Raw genomic sequence first — 20,173 nt, 5'->3', positions numbered from 1 at the left:
ACTGACTCTATGAAGCACAAAGCCCTCACTAGACCTCAATCTGCCAGTGCCTGGGTCTTGGACTTCCAGCTCCCAAAACTGTAAGAAATACATGTCTGCCATCAATAAGCCACCCAGTCTAAGGTATTTTGTTATAGCAGCCCAAATGGACTAAGAGAAGCTTTCTGAAGGCCAAATATCCTTTAATGCAGAGACTATGAAATAAACAAGAAAACAGTGGTCGAGAAAGCTAAGAGCCTCCTCGGCTAGAAGCCATGGTCTAGCCACCAATCTGCCACCTGGATGAAACCTAAACAGACTGTGGACGTCTCCCACTGTCCCTTCTTAATCTCTGGTTGATGCACTGGGCAATAACCCTACAGAAAGCCATTTGCTAATTGCTGCAATAAGGTAAAATGTTGCATTAAAGGGAAAAACTGGGCGATTCATCTAGTTAGTGATTAGCAGCCTGAGATTTCTCAGATATTACTCTCTCTATTTCAGCAGGTTAATAGATAGGAAAATTAGCAGATAATTTAAATAATGGCTCATTTAACACAACGATTCCTAATTATATTAGCAGCCCATCTGCTGAAGTCTGCCGGCAAGCCGAACCCACAGCAGCAGTGGCCTCTGCAGCCCAGCCACGCGGGGCTGTTTGCCCACAGTTATTACATATGATTGTAGGCACTGATTCTGTTAATCAGGCTCTTTCAGCGCTTCAGTTCTAGAAATGAATCTCATTTACTTAAACACATCTTGTTGAAGAAAGCAAAAATAATTGTCATGCGCCATTTCTCCACAATCTAAAATTAAGGTTGTTTTTATAAAGGGAGGGGGGAATCATTTTCAAAGAGCACCACTTAACACAAACAGATGTTACAGAACTTAGCTAAGAGGAGCTTGATTATACAATTTATTCTGGCTGTGTGTGCATGTGTGAGAGTGTGAGCCATTTCACTATTGCTGTACAGGCTCCTACTAGAAAGACACATGTTGAGAGACACATGGATACCTGGGCTCCTCTTGGGAAAACCACAGCTGCCAAGTGGACGGTGGCAGTGAAGGGGGGAGAGGGATGGGGAGGGGGGAATGGGGATGGGCTTGGCTGCCTGATTCTGGAATGTGGTGGTTTTCCACCAAATGCTTAGCATTTAGCAGTGTTCACTTAAAAAAAAAATCAACACAATATTTATACATTTGGGAAGGTGAAAAGAATACCTTCTTATAAAGGTGCAAGGCGGCCATCCTGCAGTCTGGGAAGTGTGCCTTTGTGCAAGAACAGAGACAGGCACTTTGAAGGAGGAGGGGTTGGGGAAGGAGCTTTACGCTGAATGGGTTGGCTAAACATACATATTCAGCAGTTTACAGGAGGAACTATGAATATTCATGAAGGTGGTCCTGATGCACGCATATTGAACATCCATGTGACATGCCTCCTGTGTTCACTCTGGGCTGGAGTCTTAACATTTAAGTGTATCACAGTTAGGCCCTAAATGTCAAAAAGGTCTTTTCAGGACTTGAAGGCACTCAAGTGAGCAGCCTCTGTAAAGCAACCAGAGCCAGTCCACTGTCAGGGGTCTCTTATCTGGAGGAGGTTCCTGAAGTCAGTCTCCTGCCCAATCCGAGCTGCAGTCATGGCTGTGGAACGGGGTCAGTCTGCGTCTGTGGGCGGATGAGCTGCAGTCATTTGAATCTGGCTGATCTCCGGGCCGGTGAGTGTTTTAGCTGCTGGAGAAAAAGAAGACGCTGTGCCATGAGAACAGAATCCGTTCTCTAAGTGTAGAGTACGCGGCTCAACCCTTGCCTGGCGTGACCTGAGGTTGCTGCTTATAAGTTGGTATCTTGTTGCCACAAACAGTCTGTTCTATTCTCTATTTTAACATTAGTACTGGTCAGCCGTTGTGCCTAAACCATAAAAGGGAGAAAGTGTAACAAGGTGTGTCTGATCTCCTGTCCCATCATGGCTGAGAACTAAGTTTTTAAGGTTTTTTTGGGGGGTCTCCTTGGCAAAAAGAAGGGTCTGTTCAGTTGGTGGGGGGCTTAGGAGCTTACTTTTAGTTGACAGCAGGTTGATACCAACTGTGGAGGTTGAAGTTGAGGGAGCAGTATTTAGGGTGTAGGAGGCCCGTTTTAAGAACCTAAGAGATCACTCAAATCCAAGTCCCCAAATCCTAATTCTTCTGGACCTGGGAGCTGTCACTACCTCTGCAGCTGAAACCTCGTTCCTGGGGTGATAGGTTGGTTAGGGGGAAGGGGGACCTCCCTGACTGAGTTTTGAAACTTTCCAAATAACACACATCCCTTATGAAGAGTAGAAAGGACACATTTCTACAACGGGGAGAGGTTTCATCCCAAACCCATAGCCAACGCCCTTAAACATATTGGGAACTATGTCCTTTCATAACATTCACAGGATGCGAGTTTCACATTCATTTCCTAGCCATGGTCCCAGGATACACCTGTGTCTTCTCCATGCAGGAAAGGATAGTGACTTCAGGGTGTGCTGGACCGAGATTCTAACCCCAGCTCAACCTCTTGTTCGCTGCAGAATCTGAGGGTTGCCACCCTCTCTGAGCCTCAGCCCCCTTGTCTGTACCCTGGGTTAATAAAGAGTGTTGCTCTGAGCATCGTGCCTTGTCCTGCCTCTATAAAAGCACCTGGCACAGTGGTGTTTGAACTTAAAGAGGGGTAGTGCGGCTTTTTCTCGTTACAGGGCTGTTTCTCAAATACATCACTCTGCAGAAAAAGGCACGCATCAAATTATCCACCAGACTGGCATTCCTTATCTCTGCACTGAAACCCGCAGAGGTAGTGTCAGCCACACTCCCATGTCCAGAAGGCAGCTCCTCCCTCAGATGGACTCCTTATCATCTCCGAACAAACGGGGACCACACAGGCCTCCCCCTGGGAACAGCCTGGGCACCTCTGTTCCCTCTCTTCCCAGCCCGGCTCGGGCGAGTGGAGGGAAGCAGCAAGGATGGACTTTCCTGCTGATAGGATTTCACGCCCTCTCCCACCCCCAGAAGGCGCAGGCACCTGCAGTCACAGGGGCTTTAATCAGAATCAGAATCCTTATTGCTGCTAGTCTGGACACAGACCGGCAGTGGTGTGCACAATCTCCATGGCCTGGCGGTGTGTTCAGCAGTCCTCCCAGGGTGCACATGGGCTGCAACCCAGGGTGGACATAACCGCACGACAGAACGTTTGGGAGCGGCCTGAGTGTCAGCACCACCTGTACGTGGCTGCAAGAGGGCAACGTTCCAGCTGGGAATGCTCCAATCCAAAGGTATCCTAGGCTATGGTGAGGATGCCTGCTTTTTAATCCCACCCTGGCAGGTGGTTGTTCTGCCCCTGGCTGCCCAGCTCTCCTGATCCAGGTGCTGCCTCCACGGAACTCCCACCTTCCCTACCCCTAGGGGCTGTTTTTCTCCCTCTGGTAGCCACCTTGGTGTGCAACTGACATCTTTCAGTGATGGGTGACCCAGGCAGAGATGGGGAGCAGAGGGCAGGGTGGGGTGGCAGGAACTAAAACAAAACAAACACCCCCATCCTCAGCAGCCCCTGAGCCCTCATACCCTTACCCTGTACCCCTGCCATCCTGCCCCCTGCATCAGAATCAGAAGAATTCTGGACACGGGAGAGGCACTGAAACCCTCAGAGGTAGTGTCAGCCACTCCCATGTTCAGAAGGCAGCTCCTCCCTCGAATGGACTCCTTATCATCTCCGAACAAACGGGGACCACACAGGCCTCCCCCTGGGAATAGCCTGGGTACCTCTGAAGTCCTCTCTCCTCTCTTCCCAGCCCGGCTTGGGCGAGTGGAGCAGAGCAGCAAGGATGGACTTTCCTGCTGATAGGATTTCATGCCCTCTCCCACCCCCAGAAGGTGCAGGCACCTGCAGTCACAGGGGCTTCAAATACTGTTTTCACCCCTGCAGAAGACACCGTGCGGTCCTGCGTGCACTGCCCACATTCCCCTCTGGTGGAGGCCAAGGTGTGGGGAGAGCAGTCACTTGGAAGAGAAAGAGAAACTAATCCTGTAGGCCACCACCCTTAGAAAGGTGTGTCTGTGGGTTTTCTCGCTCTTGGTCACATTCTTACATGTGGGTCGTGACTTGGTTTGTTCCACTTAACATCCTAAGGCTCTGTTCCTCCTTAGGTGGCTGTGTATGGGAGACGACTTTTGCCTGCATTCCTCTCCCTTCCTAAGGCCCTAGCGGTATGAGCTTGGTTTAGGGCTGTCTGGCCAGTGATAGGCAGAACCAGGGCCAGAATCAGGCAACGTCACCATTGTAAGCGGGGCCACAGAGCAGCATGCCTGAAGACAGGGTGTCCCAGCTGAGAGCACTGGCTGCTTGCCAAGAGACTGCATATGACTGCGTTGCCTTCAGGGATCACCCCCGACCAGGGTCTGATTCTCACTCTGCCTCTTGGATGCAGAAACCAAACATGGACTGAAAGGGGAGCAGCCGTAAGCAGCCTCACTCCAACCAAGCTTCCGCAGATGTGGGCTGGAGGCCAGAGAGCCTGTGTTCCTTTGCAACAGGGGCTATTCAGTGACAGGTGAGCTGGATGTTTTCTTCTGCTCCAACAGTCCCTCCTGCACCAGGAGGGAGATCAGTGGGGCGGGGTTGGGGAGGCAGAGAGAGAGAACAAGGAGTGCTTTCTCTATAGAGCATGCCACTGTCCCACTCTCTCCCTGGGACTGGAGTTTCCCTGGAAGCCTCTGAGGTTACACAATCTGTCTTCCAGCAGGATGCGATCCTACTGACTAACGAATGAAGACATATTTAAACAGTCATGTGTGAGCGCATTCACTGATGCCAGTGAAAACAATGATCCTTTTCCCATGCAAGAGAAAATTCACACTCAACCACTTTTAAGAAAACAAACTATTAAAAAGGACAAAAGAGCTCTGACCTTCATACTTTGATGATAGTTGGGGAGGGGGATAAGTAGAATAACATTTCTATTAACAGGGCTAATTAGCTTCTTCCTTTCCCAAGCGACAACTAAAGCCACTCCGAAAGAACCCCTAAGAACCCATTATGCATTTCCCAAAATTTTAGGACATGTCATTTTACCTACAAATTAGTTCTTCCTGCACATTTTCTAAAGAAGTGTGAATAAATTCTTATCAAAGGTGTAATGTCTTAGTTCTCAAGATGTTTCTGGAGTTTCACTAAATGTTCTCTTTTGCTCAAGAGTTGATGACAGCAATTGAAGACCCACTCCAAACCTGAACTTACAGAAAAAGAACATCGTTAACTTTACCCTAGTTACCAACATTCAAATTTTGTCACAATTTTAAATAAACATAAAAAAAGAAAGAGATAAGGCATATACGCCTGCTGCAGCATCAGGCAAGACTTTTAAGTTACTGCAATTTATAAGATGATTACTCCTTGCAATTATTCTAGATATTAACATTCATTTTTTCTAAAATGTGGTAAATACACATAACTTAAAATTTACCATCTTAGTTCTTTCTAAAGGTGAAGTTCAATGGCGTTAAGTACATTCACATTGTTGTGTAACCATCATCATCACCCACCTGAGGAACTCACTTCATTTTACAAAACTGAAACCCGTTACCCATTAAACAACTCCTCACTCTCCATTCCTGCGGACACCACCCTTAATGTTTCTGTCTCTATGAATTTGCCTTCTCCAGGAACCTCACATAAATGGAATCATCCAGTGCTTGTCCTTTTGTAACAGTCTTCTATCACATAGCATAAGGTCTTCAAGGTTCATCCATGTTATAGCATGTGCCAGAACCGTCTTCCTTTTTAAGGCTGAATAATATTCCATTATATGCTGTTATGACCTGATTGTTTGTATCCCCTGCCTTTTGTTGCAATCCTAATCCCCAAGGTGGTGCTATTAGGAGGCAGGGCCTTTGGGAGGTGATTAGGTCATGAGGATGGAGCCTCATGGATGGGATTAGTGCCCTTATAAAAAGGACGGAGGAGCTCTCACCCTCTTTCTGCCATCTGAAGATGCAATGAAGAGCAGGCAGTCTGCAGCCCAGAAGGTGGCCCTCGTTGGACCCTGACCATGCTGGCACCTGGACCTTGGGTTTCCAGTCTCCAGAACTAAGAGAAATACATTGACATTATTTATAAGCCACTCAGTCTAGGGTACTTTGTTAGGGCAGCCCAAACTAAAACATAAGTATAGACCAGAATTTTGTTTATCCATTCAACTGTCCACAGACACTTGTGTTGTTTCCACCTTTTGCTATTGTGAATGATGCTGCTGTGAACACAGGTGTGTGACTATCTCTTCAAGACCCTGCTTTCAGTTCTTTGGGGGAGATTCATTTTTTCAGTAAATATTTATTTCTAATAAATATTAAGTGAGCAGCTACTATGTGCCTGAGTCATAGAGATGAAGAAGATACAGTGTTCCCCATTGAATTCATGACCCGATGTTAAGACGGAAGACCAGGCTTCTCTTTCATAACAGTTTTCAATTCCTGTGGAATTGGCTTTTGCACTGGTGAGGGATGAAGTACAAGCAACTACAGACAATTCATGTGAGGTTTTCCACTCAAAATTTCATTTCTCCTCGGCCACCCAACACGCTTAAAAAAATTAGCCCTTCTGTTTATTATAATATTTTTCAAGGCAACAGAATAATTATACTATGTAAGACACAACAGAAGTAGGAAGGTAAATTTTCTAATGGGGAAGCGAATTGCCAACCACACAATCTGTTATTTTCAATCACGCACAAAGATGACGGAATAATAATCATATTGTATTTAAAACTGACCTGCTGAATGGCCTTGCAATTTTACCACATTTTAGCCAAATGAATCTTCATATCTAGAATAATTGCAAGGAGTAACCATCTTATAACTGGGGTAACTCAAATGTATCTCATCTATGAAAACACATTATAAAATATTGATTAAGGTTAAGGGCTTTGAAAGCAGAAAATGTGACTTAATTTCTAAGTGTTGAAAAGGTGCAAACACTTCTTAGCAACAATGACAATTGTATGTGAGTATGTTAATGATAATGACTGATAATCTACAAATCCTAGTACTCACCTGAATGTGGAATGCTGTGACCTAGCTTTACAATGAAATCTTCTTAAAATCTAAAATTTCATCTTCGTTTTACAGTAATCTTTTTGCATGGGATCTGATCAGCCCAAACTGAATGCGCAACACAGAAAAACCATTGTGTTCAATTTGCTACCCTTCGCTAATTTCAGGCCAGCCATTTAAGAAACAGGCTATTTCTATGTGGCTCATATAAGGCTTTGATGTTTTTTTCCATGGTAAACCCACAAGAAAAAAAAAGTATTTTAATAGGCATATAGTGATCAAAGATATTATTCTCTTCTAAAAAGACTTTCTTAAAGCCCTTCCAAGGGAATTTCTCACAAGAAAGCATTAAATCTCTATTGACTGACCTCTACATTTTTATGGTGTCCAGATATTTTGAAAGAATGCTAACCCAGAAGAGAAATGACAGATGCATCCCTCTTTGGCTTCTATGGCCAGCAAAATACAGACGTTTGCTTTAATTATGGTATAGAAAAGTCATAAAGAAATCTTTCAGAACATTCTAGAGACAGGAAAAATGAAGAAGACTTGGAGAAAAAAATTGCAACATATTAACCTTGGCAAAGTCTTCAACATACGTGTGACAGCCCTTGAACGTGAGTGTTAAATATGTTTGCTGGAGCAGCAGTGGAGACAGGTACCACCCATGGTCCTAGCTCCAGCCCCTCTCCGTGGGCACTGGACCACCCCACTCAGTGCCCACTCAGGACAGCATGCCCCTAATTCCCTTTCTTCTGCATCATCAGTTTTTCCCCCTCTCCCAGGATCACTCCCGCTTATTATACATGGGACATCATATCTCCCATCTTGAGAAAGAAAATGCCAACTCTTGGCCGGGCGCAGTGGCTCATGCCTGTAATCCCTGCATTTTGGGGGGCCGAGGTGGCCAGATCACCTGAGGTCAGGAGTTCAAGGCTAGCCTGGCCAACATGTTGAAACCCTGTCTCTACTAAAAAAACAAAAAACAAAACAAAAACAAAAACAAAAATTAGCCGGGCATGATGGTGAGTGCCTGTAATTCCAGCTACTCGGGAGGCTGAAGCAGGAGAATTGCTTGAACCCGGGAGGCGGAGGCTACAGTGAGCCAAGACTGCACCACTGCACTCCAGCCTGGGCTTCACCCCACATTGTCCTCCAACCACAGCCCTATCTCTCTGTTCTCCTCCACAGTAAATCCCCTTGAAATAGCTGAGTGAGCTCACAGGCTCCAGGTCCTCTCCTCCCTTTCTCGCTTGGGGCCACCACCCCCCAAAAACAGCTCTTCTCTCTGTAGCAATGTCCTCTCCAGCCACGGCTGACCTGCTGAGGGGTTTGACGTCTTTCAAAACTCCTTTCCTCCCTGACCCATCCCCGTCTTCAGGTATCTTGCCTCACCAGGCTCCTCCTCCTTGGGGCCCTTTACTGACCCTTCCTCACCTTCCCCACCTCTAAGTTTTGGGGTGTCCCAGCGCCTGTGCTGGGACCTCACCTCCTCTCCCCAGGCTCAGTCCATGGGAGCACATGAATGCTACCTCTGTGTAGCACACTCTCAAAATTCAGGTGTCTCTGGGCCCAGAGGCATGATCAGCTGCTGCAGGTGCTCTCCCCATGGGTATTAGGAATGGCATCTCCATTTGGCGTTTCCAAAACCACACTCCTCATTCACCCTCGCAGCCAGGCAACTCTCAACAATAGCACTCCCCCACCTTCCTCAAGCCTTCCTCCCCACAGCTCACCTACCAGGCTCCACCACAGGCCGCCTTGGGTTCCTCCAGCACACAAGCACAGCTCCTCCTCAAGGCCGTCGTACTGGCTCTTCCTTCTGCCTGGACACCCTTCCCCAAGCACCTTGCTCTCCCACCCCTCCTTTTTCAGGTCTCTGCTCCAGAGCTCCCTCATTGAAGATGCCTTCCCTGGCCATGATAATTATGAACTTGTGACACTTCCCTACCGCTGATATTCCTTTGCCCGTGTGGTAATGTTCTTCATAGCATCTGTCACCATCCTTTCATAGTCTCTATCACCATGCCTACAACATGTTGTCCTGCCTGTCCCTTTCATGAAAGAGTAAGCTCCAAGAAGGCAGGATTTTTGGTGACTGTTGCACCTACTGGATGCTCAGTGCCTAGGACAGGACCAGACAAGTATCACGTGTCCATGAAATATCGATTTGCCAAACGTTTGCAGTCACATGTGGATTACAGTAACTTCTCCACCAAAACAATAACCAGACTCAGTCACTGCACTAGATTTTATGAAGAAACATGAAAATCTTGGGGGGTCATCATTTTGTCCTGCCTGATCACTGGAATCACCTCAGACACTTAAAAAATATATACATCTCCAGCCCAGAGAATGGTGCCTGGAATCCATATGTTTAACCAGGTCCCCATGTAACTGCTGATCAGCCAGGTCTGGGGAGCACCGATTGGTCCCGTCTCTCAGTGACCGCACTGCTGTCTATCAGCATGCAGAGGTGACAGTGTTTCTGCTGGGTTTTTCAGTGATGGGAAGTGCATTACCTTATGACTTGTTACAATGTTAGGGCATATTTTTCACCACGTTCTCCCTTTTCCAGTTTAATTCCATAGCATTTGTTGAGGGTCTGACCAGTGCCAGGAGCGATGGCCTATCCAGAAATAAACAGCTAGTGAAAGGGACTTGGTGCCTGTCCCCAGGAAACGTCCAGTTGGCTGAATACTTCCCATCCCCTACTGCTTTCCAGCAGACTCAAGCCTGTCCTCTGCAATAATGCCCTCTTCCACCTGGCTGGCAGCTTGTTGAGTGTAGAATGTTTCCTGCCTAGGACCCATGGCATCCCTCTGGGGTGGAGGTGGGTGGGCTGCATACCCCCTCGAAATCCTCCAAGCATTGGTCGTGTGATATGATTTCCTGCTCCTTCCTCATCATGGTAGCATCTCAAAAACTCATCTGGGGTCAATATCCAGCCCTCACACCACCTTCAACAATCCCCTAATCAAACATCTAACCGTCAGTTTCCGCACATGGCAACTAAGCATTAACCATAACAAATAACAAACAGCTCACTACGGTCATGCCTGATCATTTAGCACAAAGACTTTTGAAAATAATTTATAGTGAAAACTGTCTTACATGATTTCACAATTTCCTAAAACAGGAATTATACAAAAACCAATTTCAGACAAAGATGGGATTTGCACTTAATATTTTTTAGCATCCCAGTATGCTCTGTTCATCCAACACCAGGCCTCCAGTGGTTAGCATTCAACCAAAGTTTTGAAACAACCAAATTTTAATTTTAATCATTGAAAATGACCCTAAAACATGCTGGGTTTGCTAGTTTGGGAAATATTGATTACTGCTTAAAACCCTCATCAATTAACTCAAACATTATCTCCCTCCACTGTCAACACAGATTTTCTTCGGAAAAGGGCCTAAGTGCAAACTTTGAAAAAACCCATTTCACCACATAATTTCCTCACTTAGATTTACACGCACAACAGTCTTGCAGCTTTTTGGGAGGGTGTTCATATGTTCCCAACTAGCTGTGCGTTGCGCCTCTTGGCTCTTGGACCTAATAGGGATTTGAGCTGGCTGCTCCATCTTAAACCTTCTCTCCCCTGAGGAGCCTGCCAGGTTTTGAAGATCAATGAACTTCCCAGATGGAGGCGAGACAGTAAGAGTCACAGCTGAAAGCCTCATAGGTTTTAAGTGCTGGGTTTTGTACCAAACATTCCAATCCTTTTTGTTTCAAGTGCTCAGAAGGCAGGCAGCTCGATGGCTTCAGCCCTTGGATAACTGGCTATAAAAGAAGCTATAACTTTCAGGTTCACCTGAATGTCACGACTTTGCCCCAAGTGGGATGTGTCTTGATTTGTGAAAAACAAACTCAACTCTACTTAATGCATTTCTCTTTAAACCACCTCTACTACGATCAGAGCTGCGGGGCTGCTGGGACATCATGGATACTAAGTATGTGTCTGTTATATGCATTTACCAAAGAACAAAAGACTGCGTAAGATAAACATTTTGCATGGTCCAGAGGATAAGACAGGTAGGGTAAGACAGCAGAGGGGCAACTGTGTCCCTGAGGGCCTCCTTGTCTCCTCATTCCTGCCCATATAAAATGGTCTGGTGAGCAATGGCCAACTAAGAAGGCTAGGATCAGGATGCCTGAGCAGTGGAAGCTGCAGGAGGCTGTGAATGCGGACAGTGGCTGAGCTGGCCAGGCTGTGTATGCTTGAACCCAGTCAGGGCCTAGGTCAGAAGTGGGTTTGTGAGTCAGTGCAGGCTGCCAGAACAAAGCACCGCAGACTGGGCAGCTTAAACAACGGACACGTATCTTCTCACGGTTGTGGAGGCCGGAAGTCTCAGATCAAGGTGTGGGCAGGTGGCTTCCCCCTTGGCTTGCAGATGGCCGTCCTCTTGCTCCTCTTGCTGCTTCTTCACATGGCGGTCCCTCTGCGCACATCCCTGGTGTCTCTCTGCATGTCCTATATAAGGACACTTGTCAGACTGGATCAGGGCCCACCCTCATGGCCACATTTTAACTTCATGACCTCTTTTAAGGCCCCATCTCCAAAGATAGTCATATTTTGAAGTACTGGAGGTTTGGACTTCAACGTATAAATTTGAGGGACACAATTCAGTCCATCACAGGGGGCCGGGCTAGCACAGTGCAGGGAAGAGGTCCTGAGACCTGCAGAACATGGGGTTACAATCCAAGACCTCACGGGTGCACCTAATCCGACATCCATAGTAACAAGACAGCAATGAAGACAGCGGAGTCCACATTCGCTTGGCTTCTAAGTTTCTACAGCCCAGTCCATTCTCCACAAACCGAGGTAAACTAACATCTGAATTTAAATGATCGAAATATTTGGACAGACTCATAAACTAAACGAAATTTCATTCTGAAATAATGGTCACCAGCTGTATTTATCAGAGTCCAGCCAGAAAGAGAATTCTACTCCAGAGCTCCCAAGAAGAGGTTTTGGGTTTTTTTTTTGTTTTTTTTTTTAATTATACTTGAAGTTTTAGGGTACATGTGCACAATGTGCAGGTTTGTTACATATGTATACATGTGCCATGTTGGTGTGCTGCACCCATCAACTCATCATTTGACATTAGTTATATCTCCTAATGCTATTCCTCCCCCCTCCCCCCACCCCACAACAGGCCCTGGTGTGTGATGTTCCCCTTCCTGTGCCCATGTGTTCTCATTGTTCATGTCCTTTGTAGGGACATGGATAAAACTGGAAACCATCATTCTCAGCAAACTGTCGCAAGGACAAAAAACCAAACACCGCATGTTCTCACTCATAGGTGGGAAGAAGAGGTTATGATGGAAGGGCTATTTTTGGAGGTGTGAGCGGGGCACAAGGGACCTACAACAACGGCAGCCATCCCCGCCCCTGGCCTGAGGGGCAGGGCACACACCACCTTGCCTGCCAGTGAGAGCTGGGGCTGGGAGAGGCTCTGCTTTCAGAAGCTAGAAGTGCGGAGGGAATCGAAGCCCGGCTAGAACAAGTAGGAAGCGTGAGTGGGATCCATGCACTGGCTTTTCTCTTGCCCTTCTGAGCTGAATTAAGAAAAGGAAGCCTGAACCACTCTAGGAAGCTCGCCTCCCTAGCACAGGACAGAAGGAAGCTGTCTCAGGAAAATGCCCTACTCCTTGGGCAACCAACCACTCCTTGGACACTGGGTGGTACTACTTTCCCCGGGGCACCCAGACAAGACACTTCCGTCCAGGTGCTGGGCAGAGCCCCACTGCCACCCCCTGCAGCATCCTCAGCATCTTGCAGACCCCCGAGCAGCTGCCAGCAGAGCTCAGTTCTTCCTCCTCGCCAGCCTTCCCCTCCTCCCTGGGGCTCCCTCCAGAAGGAGGCAGGGAGGGAGGGTAGGAAGGCGCAGGTGGAGGAAGATGAGGAAGGGACTCCGGCAGCCAGCTCCTCCCCGGCACCACAAGGAGGAAAGGGGAAAGAGGAGCAGACGCTGGGCAGCACCTTGACCTCTGAGAGGGTTCCTGTTAAAAAAGAAGGCGGTGAACCATCATTCTGAGCAAACTGTCGCAAGGACAGAAAACCAAACACCGCACGTTCTCACTCATAGGTGGGAAGTGAGCAATGAGAACACTTGGACACAGGAAGGGGAACATCACACATGGGGGCCTGTCGTGGGGTGGGGGGAGGGGGGAGGGATAGCTTTAGGAGATATACCTAATGTAAATGACGAGTTAATGGGTGCAGCACACCAGCATGTCACATGTATACATATGTAACAAACCTGCACATTGTACACATGTACCCTAGAACTTAAAGTATAATAAATAAATAAATAAATAAATAAATAAATAAATAAAAAGCGTACAGAGATCCACCAACACATCACCCAAGTTGCCTAGAAGGGTGATGGTTATTCGGTTGAAGCTCCAGAAGCAGTCTGTTTTTGCTAGCAGTACTCATACTAAAATTAAAAACAAAAAACAAAACAAAACAAAAAAAAGGGCAGTGGTGCTGAAACTCGAGTGGGTGTGTTCACACCAGCCAGCTGGAAAGAGGAGTCAAATACGCCACCCGTAGAGTAGAGACTGCATGGAGACCCCTGTTGGAAGCTGATATTTATGCTTTAAAAAGATTGTTCAATTCTATCTGGAACTGCTTTGGTAGAGGAGCTTATTAAAGAAGGCAGCTGGAAAGCCCTGGCAGGAACAGACAGGTGAATGCATCGCTCCTGAGCATCTGTGATATTCTAGGATCTAGCCTGAGTACCCAGATACACTACGACTCAACTCAGAAACAGGCAATTTCTCTTGAATCAGACGAGGCCCATCATTCCCCGCAAGGCTTCAGAATTCTCAGTGACAAGTGACTTTGAAAATTTGGGGATAAACTAGCCCATCAAAAAATATATATTTTGGGGGCTGGGCACAGTGGTTTACACCTGTAATCCCAGCACTTTGAGAGGCCGAGGTGGGCAGATCACTTGAGGCCAAGAGCTCAAGACCAGCCTGGCCAACATGACAAAACCCTCCTCTACTAAAAATACAAACATCAGCTGGGTGTGGTGGGGCGTGCCTGTATTTCCAGCTACTTGGGGGGCTGAGGCACGAGAATTGCTTGAACCCAGGAGGCAGAGGCTGCAGTGAGCCGAGATTGCACCACTGCACTCCAGCCTGGGCCACAGAGTAAGACTCTGTCTCAAAAATAAAAATAAAAATAAATATTTTTGAGTATTTAACTTCTATGTGTGTATATATCTACCCCTTATGCATATCCTCCCTTTGTACATCACATACATTTTGAAATTTATAAAACACACAAGAGGCAGCTTAGTACACTGGTTCAGGGCACACAGTGGGGGACCAGCCAACCTGCTTTCAAATCCTGGCTCTGCCCTCATGAATGATGTTACCTCAGCCATATAGCTGATCTGTGCTTCAGTTTCCTCATTTGTAAAATGGAGATTAGGAATAGTCAACTTGCATATTTCCTAATGTCAATCAGTAACTAGCAAACTAACCGGAAGGTACGGCTTATTTCCATTTTTTTTTTTTAACACAAGCAAAATTATTTGGAAGATTTTTACATAGGTAGGAAATTCTGTCTCCAAGTTAAGGGTTCAAAAGTGTTTTATAGGTAGCCAACTTACTCCATTTTGGTAGTAGAAATCAACTAATGATGTAAACATGTACAGCTATCATCCTCAGAAGACCTCTCCACAGCAGGAGATGTTACGCTTCTCACTTAGCATTAAAATATCATCTTAAAGGGACCTGTTTTGTGTTTATTTTTTTCAATATCTACTAAGTACCATACCACTGCCAGTCACTTGCTAACACCATAAATGTCAGCAAATCTGGAACTGTGACTTTCTGAGAAATAAAATCATGTAACTCATCTTTAGAGACTGTATTTCTTTAAAAAAAAAAAAAAACAAAAAAAACCTGGCTGGCTGGGTGCAGTGACTCATCCCTGTAATCACAGCACTTCGGGAGGCGAAGGTGGGAGGATCCTTAAGCTCTGAAGTTTGAGACCAGCCTGGGCAACATAGTGAGACCCCATCCCTACAAAAAACTAAAAACGAGTTGGGTGTGGTGGCATGCACCTGTGGTCCCAGCTACTCGGGAGGCTGAGGTGGGAGGATGCCTTGGGTCTGAGAGGCTGAACCTGCGGTGAGCAGTAACTGTGCCATGGCACTCAGCCTGAGTGACAGAGTGAGACCCTGTCTCAAAAAATAAGATAAAATAAAATAAAAGACAAACCAGACTGATGCCATACAAAATCCTGGAAACCGAAGCCACCAGCAGGGTGCAAGCAAAAGAACATTCGAGGAAGCACCAGTTGTGCTCACTGAGCTGCAGAATCAGCGATCCCTAGACCCCAGACCTCTGCAGTGTGTCACCGTCAACGAAGACCAGGACACCCGGCAGGTGAACCAAACGAGGTTACCTGTGTTTATCACAACTTACCAAAGCCAAATTCTTTATTGCTTTAGGCAAAACAAATTCAGACATTCTAATTTCTTCCTGCATCCTCTAACTTTGGAGACCTTTGTCCTGGGAAGTTTCTTGGGAAAGACACCTCCATGTGCCATATGCTACCTTCTTAGGTGAACAGTGGTACACATCTATCCTCTTTTCTCTACCTTGCTATTCTCACTTGCAGTATCTAAAGATATTCTCAATCATTTATATCATGTTCGATGGTGTAGATTTACCATAGTTTAATCAACCAGTCCCCTTTTGAGGCACACGTGGGTTATTTCTAATCATTTGCTATGACAGTCGTGCCACGGTGAATAGCCTTGTGAATTGCTTTTCATATTTTTCCCCAGTGTAATGTTTGTATAGACTTCCAGAATTGGATTTCTCTCTCTCTCTCTTTTTTTTTTTTTGGTTTTGTTTTTTGTTTTGAGATAGAGTCTCATTCTGTCACCCAGGCTGGAGTGCATTGGTGCAATCTCGGCTCACTGAAACCTCTGCCTCCCAGGTTCAAGCAATTCTCATGCCTCAGCCTCCCAAGCAGCTGGGACTACAGGCATGGACCACCATGCCTGGCTAATTTTTATTTTTATTTTTATTTTTTTTAGTAAAGACGGGGTTTCACCATGTTGGCCAGGCTGGTCTCAAACTCCTGACCTCAAGTGATCTGCCTGCCTCAGCCACCCAAAGTACTGGGATTACAGGCATGAGCCACTGTGCCCAGCCCAGAAGTGGATTTCTGAGTCAAAGGATAAATGTATGTAATTTTGCTAGCCATTTCCAAATTCCTCTCCATAGAAATTATATGATGGAATAACATTTTAATAGAACCCTCTCTTGCCATACAACTGCTTTCTAACAAGCCATGTAAGTTATACTTCTCAACCCTTGAATGCTATCTTGGACAAAGTCTACATTTTTCGAAAAGCTTTGTGGTCATACATTTGATTTTAGGCATTTTGAGTCCAGTCCTATCTCATATCAAAGTTTCTATCTGGCATCCAACGTGACGGGCCTGCTTTAGGCTTGGCGGTCTATAGTCGGGGAGGAGAGGTGTTGTGGTTGGATTTACTGCTGTTTCCCCACCTTGCTCATGACTGTGCCTCTGACCTCACCAGGATTGAAACAGGGAGAATGGAGGTGTGAGGGGCAGGAAGTTTTGTATTTGACTGCACGGTTGGTTCACTCTGGGTGTGGCTGACTTCACTAAAATTGAAACACAGAGAATGGAGGTGTAAGGGACGGGAAGTTCTGTATTTGACTGCACAGCTGGTTCACCCTGGGCGTGGCTGGTGTCCACATACCAACCCTTCCCCTAATGGGTCCTCCATGGGTTCTTCTGAGCCACTGCCTGGACATCTCCCATCTGCAGCTTCCTGACACAGACAAAACCTCAGGTGGCCAACAGGGACTTATCACTCCCTCCTTAGTCTCTACCACCTGACAGTCTAACCCAGAGGTCAGCAAGCTTTTTCTGTATAGGGCCAGACAGTAAATATCATAGGCTTTGGTGAGACGGCATCTGTGTCAACCACTCACCTCTGCCATTGCAGTGTGAAAACAGCCTCAGGAAATATGAAACAAACCCCAGCATGGTTGTGTTCCAATAAAACTTTATTTATAAAAACAGGTAGCTGGCCAGATTTGGCCCACAGGCCTTCCTTTGCCTACCTCTGGTCAACCCCATATTAACTCCCTTTGGTGCTCTTCTCATGGTGAAGGCCTTGACCCGTTCCTGACGACCAGAGTCTAGATCCCTTTAACTGGGTCCGCTTCTTCCCTGCTGGAAATAAGTGCCCTGCCTGCCAATAACATCAACAAAAACAACAGTAAACAGACTTTCAGATGTGTCCTGCCATGCTTTGCTGATTTTGAAGAAAGGAAAAGAATGGCAAATTGCCTTAAGGTACTTTATTATTATTAAGCTATTTTTTTTTCTCAAAAAGTATGAGGGTGAAACATTTAGAATATTTTTGGCTACAAGTAAACAGAAAATTATAGATTTAGGATGGCTCAAATATGTAAAGGAAGCCTCTAGTGATATCAGACCAATAGCTCAAAAACATCAGCGACAGCATCACTGCTGTTCCCTGACCTCTCTCCCAAAGTCAGAAGTCAGCTATCTCTGTTGAGGGCCTTGTATTTTCATTAAAGTCAGAAAACGGGGAAGTATTATCTTGGCCACACTTGACAGTTTTATCAGGAAAATATAAGCTTTCCCTAAAGTCCCCCAGGAAACCTCCATTTAGGATCCACTGCCTACAACTGTGTCCTTTGTTGCAAAAGCAGCTACAGCAAAAAGCTTCAGGCCAGAGGAAAGCGAGCTGAGAAGGTGTTTTATTCAGTCACCCAGCTGATATGGTCAGGTTACGTGGAATCATTTTCCCTGCCATGTTTCAAAAACTAGATATGATAAGGTCAGGTGGGCACAGCTACCCTAATGGACAGCAGAGGCAAAGCAGCAATCAGAACAGTCTGGCTCGTGTAGAGCTCCGGCATTGGTTAATTAATCATGGTGTTCCTAGAAGTGAAATTGATAGGAAGCCCACTGCATTCCTACTTAATTTATACAAGCAGAAAACTTCTAGGTCAAATGGCCAAAACACTAATTTGAATTATAAAAACAGAGAATCATGGCTCTTCAATCAATTTCCAGACTTGAGCTAGTTTACAGACCCAGAACCCCTTGAATGAAGGGGAGGTCGGGTCCCCTTGAGGAAGGACCCCACTACATTACCGACAATGTATGCAGTGAATCTTTCTCCCATCCTTCCCCAAAGAGACCTCTGGCCTTTTATCAGGGTAACTGTGCACTGGGGAAAGGGAGATGATCAGACATTTCAGGGACTACTGGACACTGGCTCTGAGCTGACGTTAATTCCAGAGGACCCAAAATGTCACTGTGGTCCTCCAGTAAAGTAGAGGCTTACGGAAGTCAGGTACTTAAAGGAGTTTTAGCTCAGGTCCAACTTACAGTGGGTCCAGTGGGTCCTCGGACTCATCCTGTGGTCATTTTCCCAGTGCCAGAATGCATAATTGGCATAGATATGCTTAGTAGCAGGCAGAACCCCCACACTGGCTCCCTGACTGGTAGGGTGTGGACTATTATGGTGAGAAAGGCCAAATGGAAGCCATTAGAGCTGCCTCTACCTAGAAAAATAGTAAATCAAAAACAGTATCACATCCCTGAAGGGATTGTGGAGATTAGTGCCACCATCAAGGACTTGAAGGATGCAGGGGTGGTGATTCCCACCACATCCCCATTCAACTCTCCCATCTGGCCTGTGCAGAAGACAGACGGATCTTGGAGAATGACAGTGGGTTACTGTAAGCTTAACCAAGTGGTGACTCCAATTGCAGCTGCTGTACCAGATGTGGTTTCATTGCTTGAGCAAATTAACACACCTCCTGGTACCTGGTATGCAGCCATTGACTTGGCAAATGACTTTTTCCCCATTCCTGTCCATAAGGCCCACCAGAAGCAATTTGCCTTCCGCTGGCAAGGCCGGCAATACACCTTTACTGTCCTACCTCAGGGGTAGGACAGTAAACTCTCCGGCTTTATGTCATAATCTTATTTGGAGAGACCTTGATCGCTTTTCGTTTCCACGAGATATCACACTGGTCCATTAGTTTGATGACATTATGCTGATTGGATCCAGTGAGCAAGAAGTAGCAAACACACTGGACTTATTGGTGAGACATTTATGTGCCAGGAGATGGGAAATAAATATGACTAAAATTCAGGGACCTTCTACCTCAGTAAAATTTCTAGGGGTCCAGTGGTGTGGGGCTTGTCAAGATATTCCTTCTAAGGTGAAGGATAAGTTGCTGCATTTAGTCCCTCCTACAACCAAGAAAGAGCACAATGCCTATCTGGATTTCGGAGGGAACACATTCCTCATTTGGGTGTGTTACTCCAGCCCATTTATCGAGTGAGCCGAAAGGCTGCCAATTTTGAGTGGAGTCCAGAACAGGAGAAGGCTCTGCAACAGGTCCAGGCTGCTGTGCAAGCTGCTTGGCCACTTGGGCCATACGACCCAGCAGATCCAATGGTGCTTGAGGTGTCAGTGGCAGATAGGGATGCTGATTGGAGCTGTTGGCAGGCCTCCATAGGTGAATCACAGTGGAGGCCTCTAGAATATTGGAGCAAGGCCCTGCCATCTTCTTCAGATAACTACTCTCCTTCTGAGAGAGAGCTCTTGGCCTGTTACTGGGCTTTGGTGGAAACTGAATGTTTCAAGTCACCATGCGACCTGAACTATCATGAACTGGGTACTTTCTGACCCATCTAGCCATAAAGTGGGTCATGCACAGCAGCATTCCATCATCAAATGGAAGTGGTATATACGTGATTGGGCTCGAGCAGATCCTGAAGGCACAAGTAAGTTACATGAGGAAGTGGTTCAAATGCCCTGGTCTCCACTCCTGCCACCCTGCCTTCTCTCCCTTAGCCTGCACTGATGGCTTCGTGGGGAGTTCCCTATGATCAGCTGACAGAGGAAGAGAAGACTAGGACTTGGTTCACAGATGGTTCTGCATGATATGCAGGCACCACCCGAAAGTGGACAGCTGCAGCACTACAGCCCCTTTCTAGGGCATCCATGAAGGACAGCAGTGAAGGGAAATCTTCCCAGTGGGCAGAACTTCGAGCAGTGCACCTGGTTGT

The 20,173-nt window shown here is 46.4% G+C and overlaps 1 protein-coding gene across 4 annotated transcripts in view, besides 2 other annotated features; it reads right to left on the bottom strand.

The window, feature by feature from the left end:
- The window catches only part of BACE2 (beta-secretase 2), a 114,371-nt gene that overhangs the window by 70,298 nt on the left and 23,900 nt on the right, over window positions 1-20,173 (bottom strand). Inside the window, exon 2 of one of the 4 annotated variants that reach the window (XM_017028314.2) lies at window positions 1,201-1,710. The exons of the other annotated variants lie outside the window; for them this stretch is intronic. Coding sequence (XP_016883803.1) covers window positions 1,201-1,227 — 27 coding nt within the window. The 5' untranslated portion in view covers window positions 1,228-1,710. The remainder of the gene's footprint in view (window positions 1-1,200; window positions 1,711-20,173) is intronic. 4 annotated transcript variants of the gene reach the window in all.
- Window positions 10,801-11,301: an enhancer, noted in NCBI's record as "H3K4me1 hESC enhancer chr21:42572859-42573359 (GRCh37/hg19 assembly coordinates)". NCBI's record gives its function as "activates a minimal SCP1, AML or CMV promoter by ChIP-STARR-seq in naive H9 embryonic stem cells {active_cell/tissue: H9 hESC(naive)}" and the evidence as "EXISTENCE:reporter gene assay evidence [ECO:0000049][PMID:30033119]".
- Window positions 11,302-11,802: an enhancer, noted in NCBI's record as "H3K4me1 hESC enhancer chr21:42572358-42572858 (GRCh37/hg19 assembly coordinates)". NCBI's record gives its function as "activates a minimal SCP1, AML or CMV promoter by ChIP-STARR-seq in primed H9 embryonic stem cells {active_cell/tissue: H9 hESC(primed)}" and the evidence as "EXISTENCE:reporter gene assay evidence [ECO:0000049][PMID:30033119]".

Source organism: Homo sapiens, chromosome 21, assembly GCF_000001405.40.
Source record: "Homo sapiens chromosome 21, GRCh38.p14 Primary Assembly".
NCBI lineage: Eukaryota > Metazoa > Chordata > Mammalia > Primates > Hominidae > Homo > Homo sapiens.
This window is presented reverse-complemented; position numbering and strand designations above follow the sequence as displayed.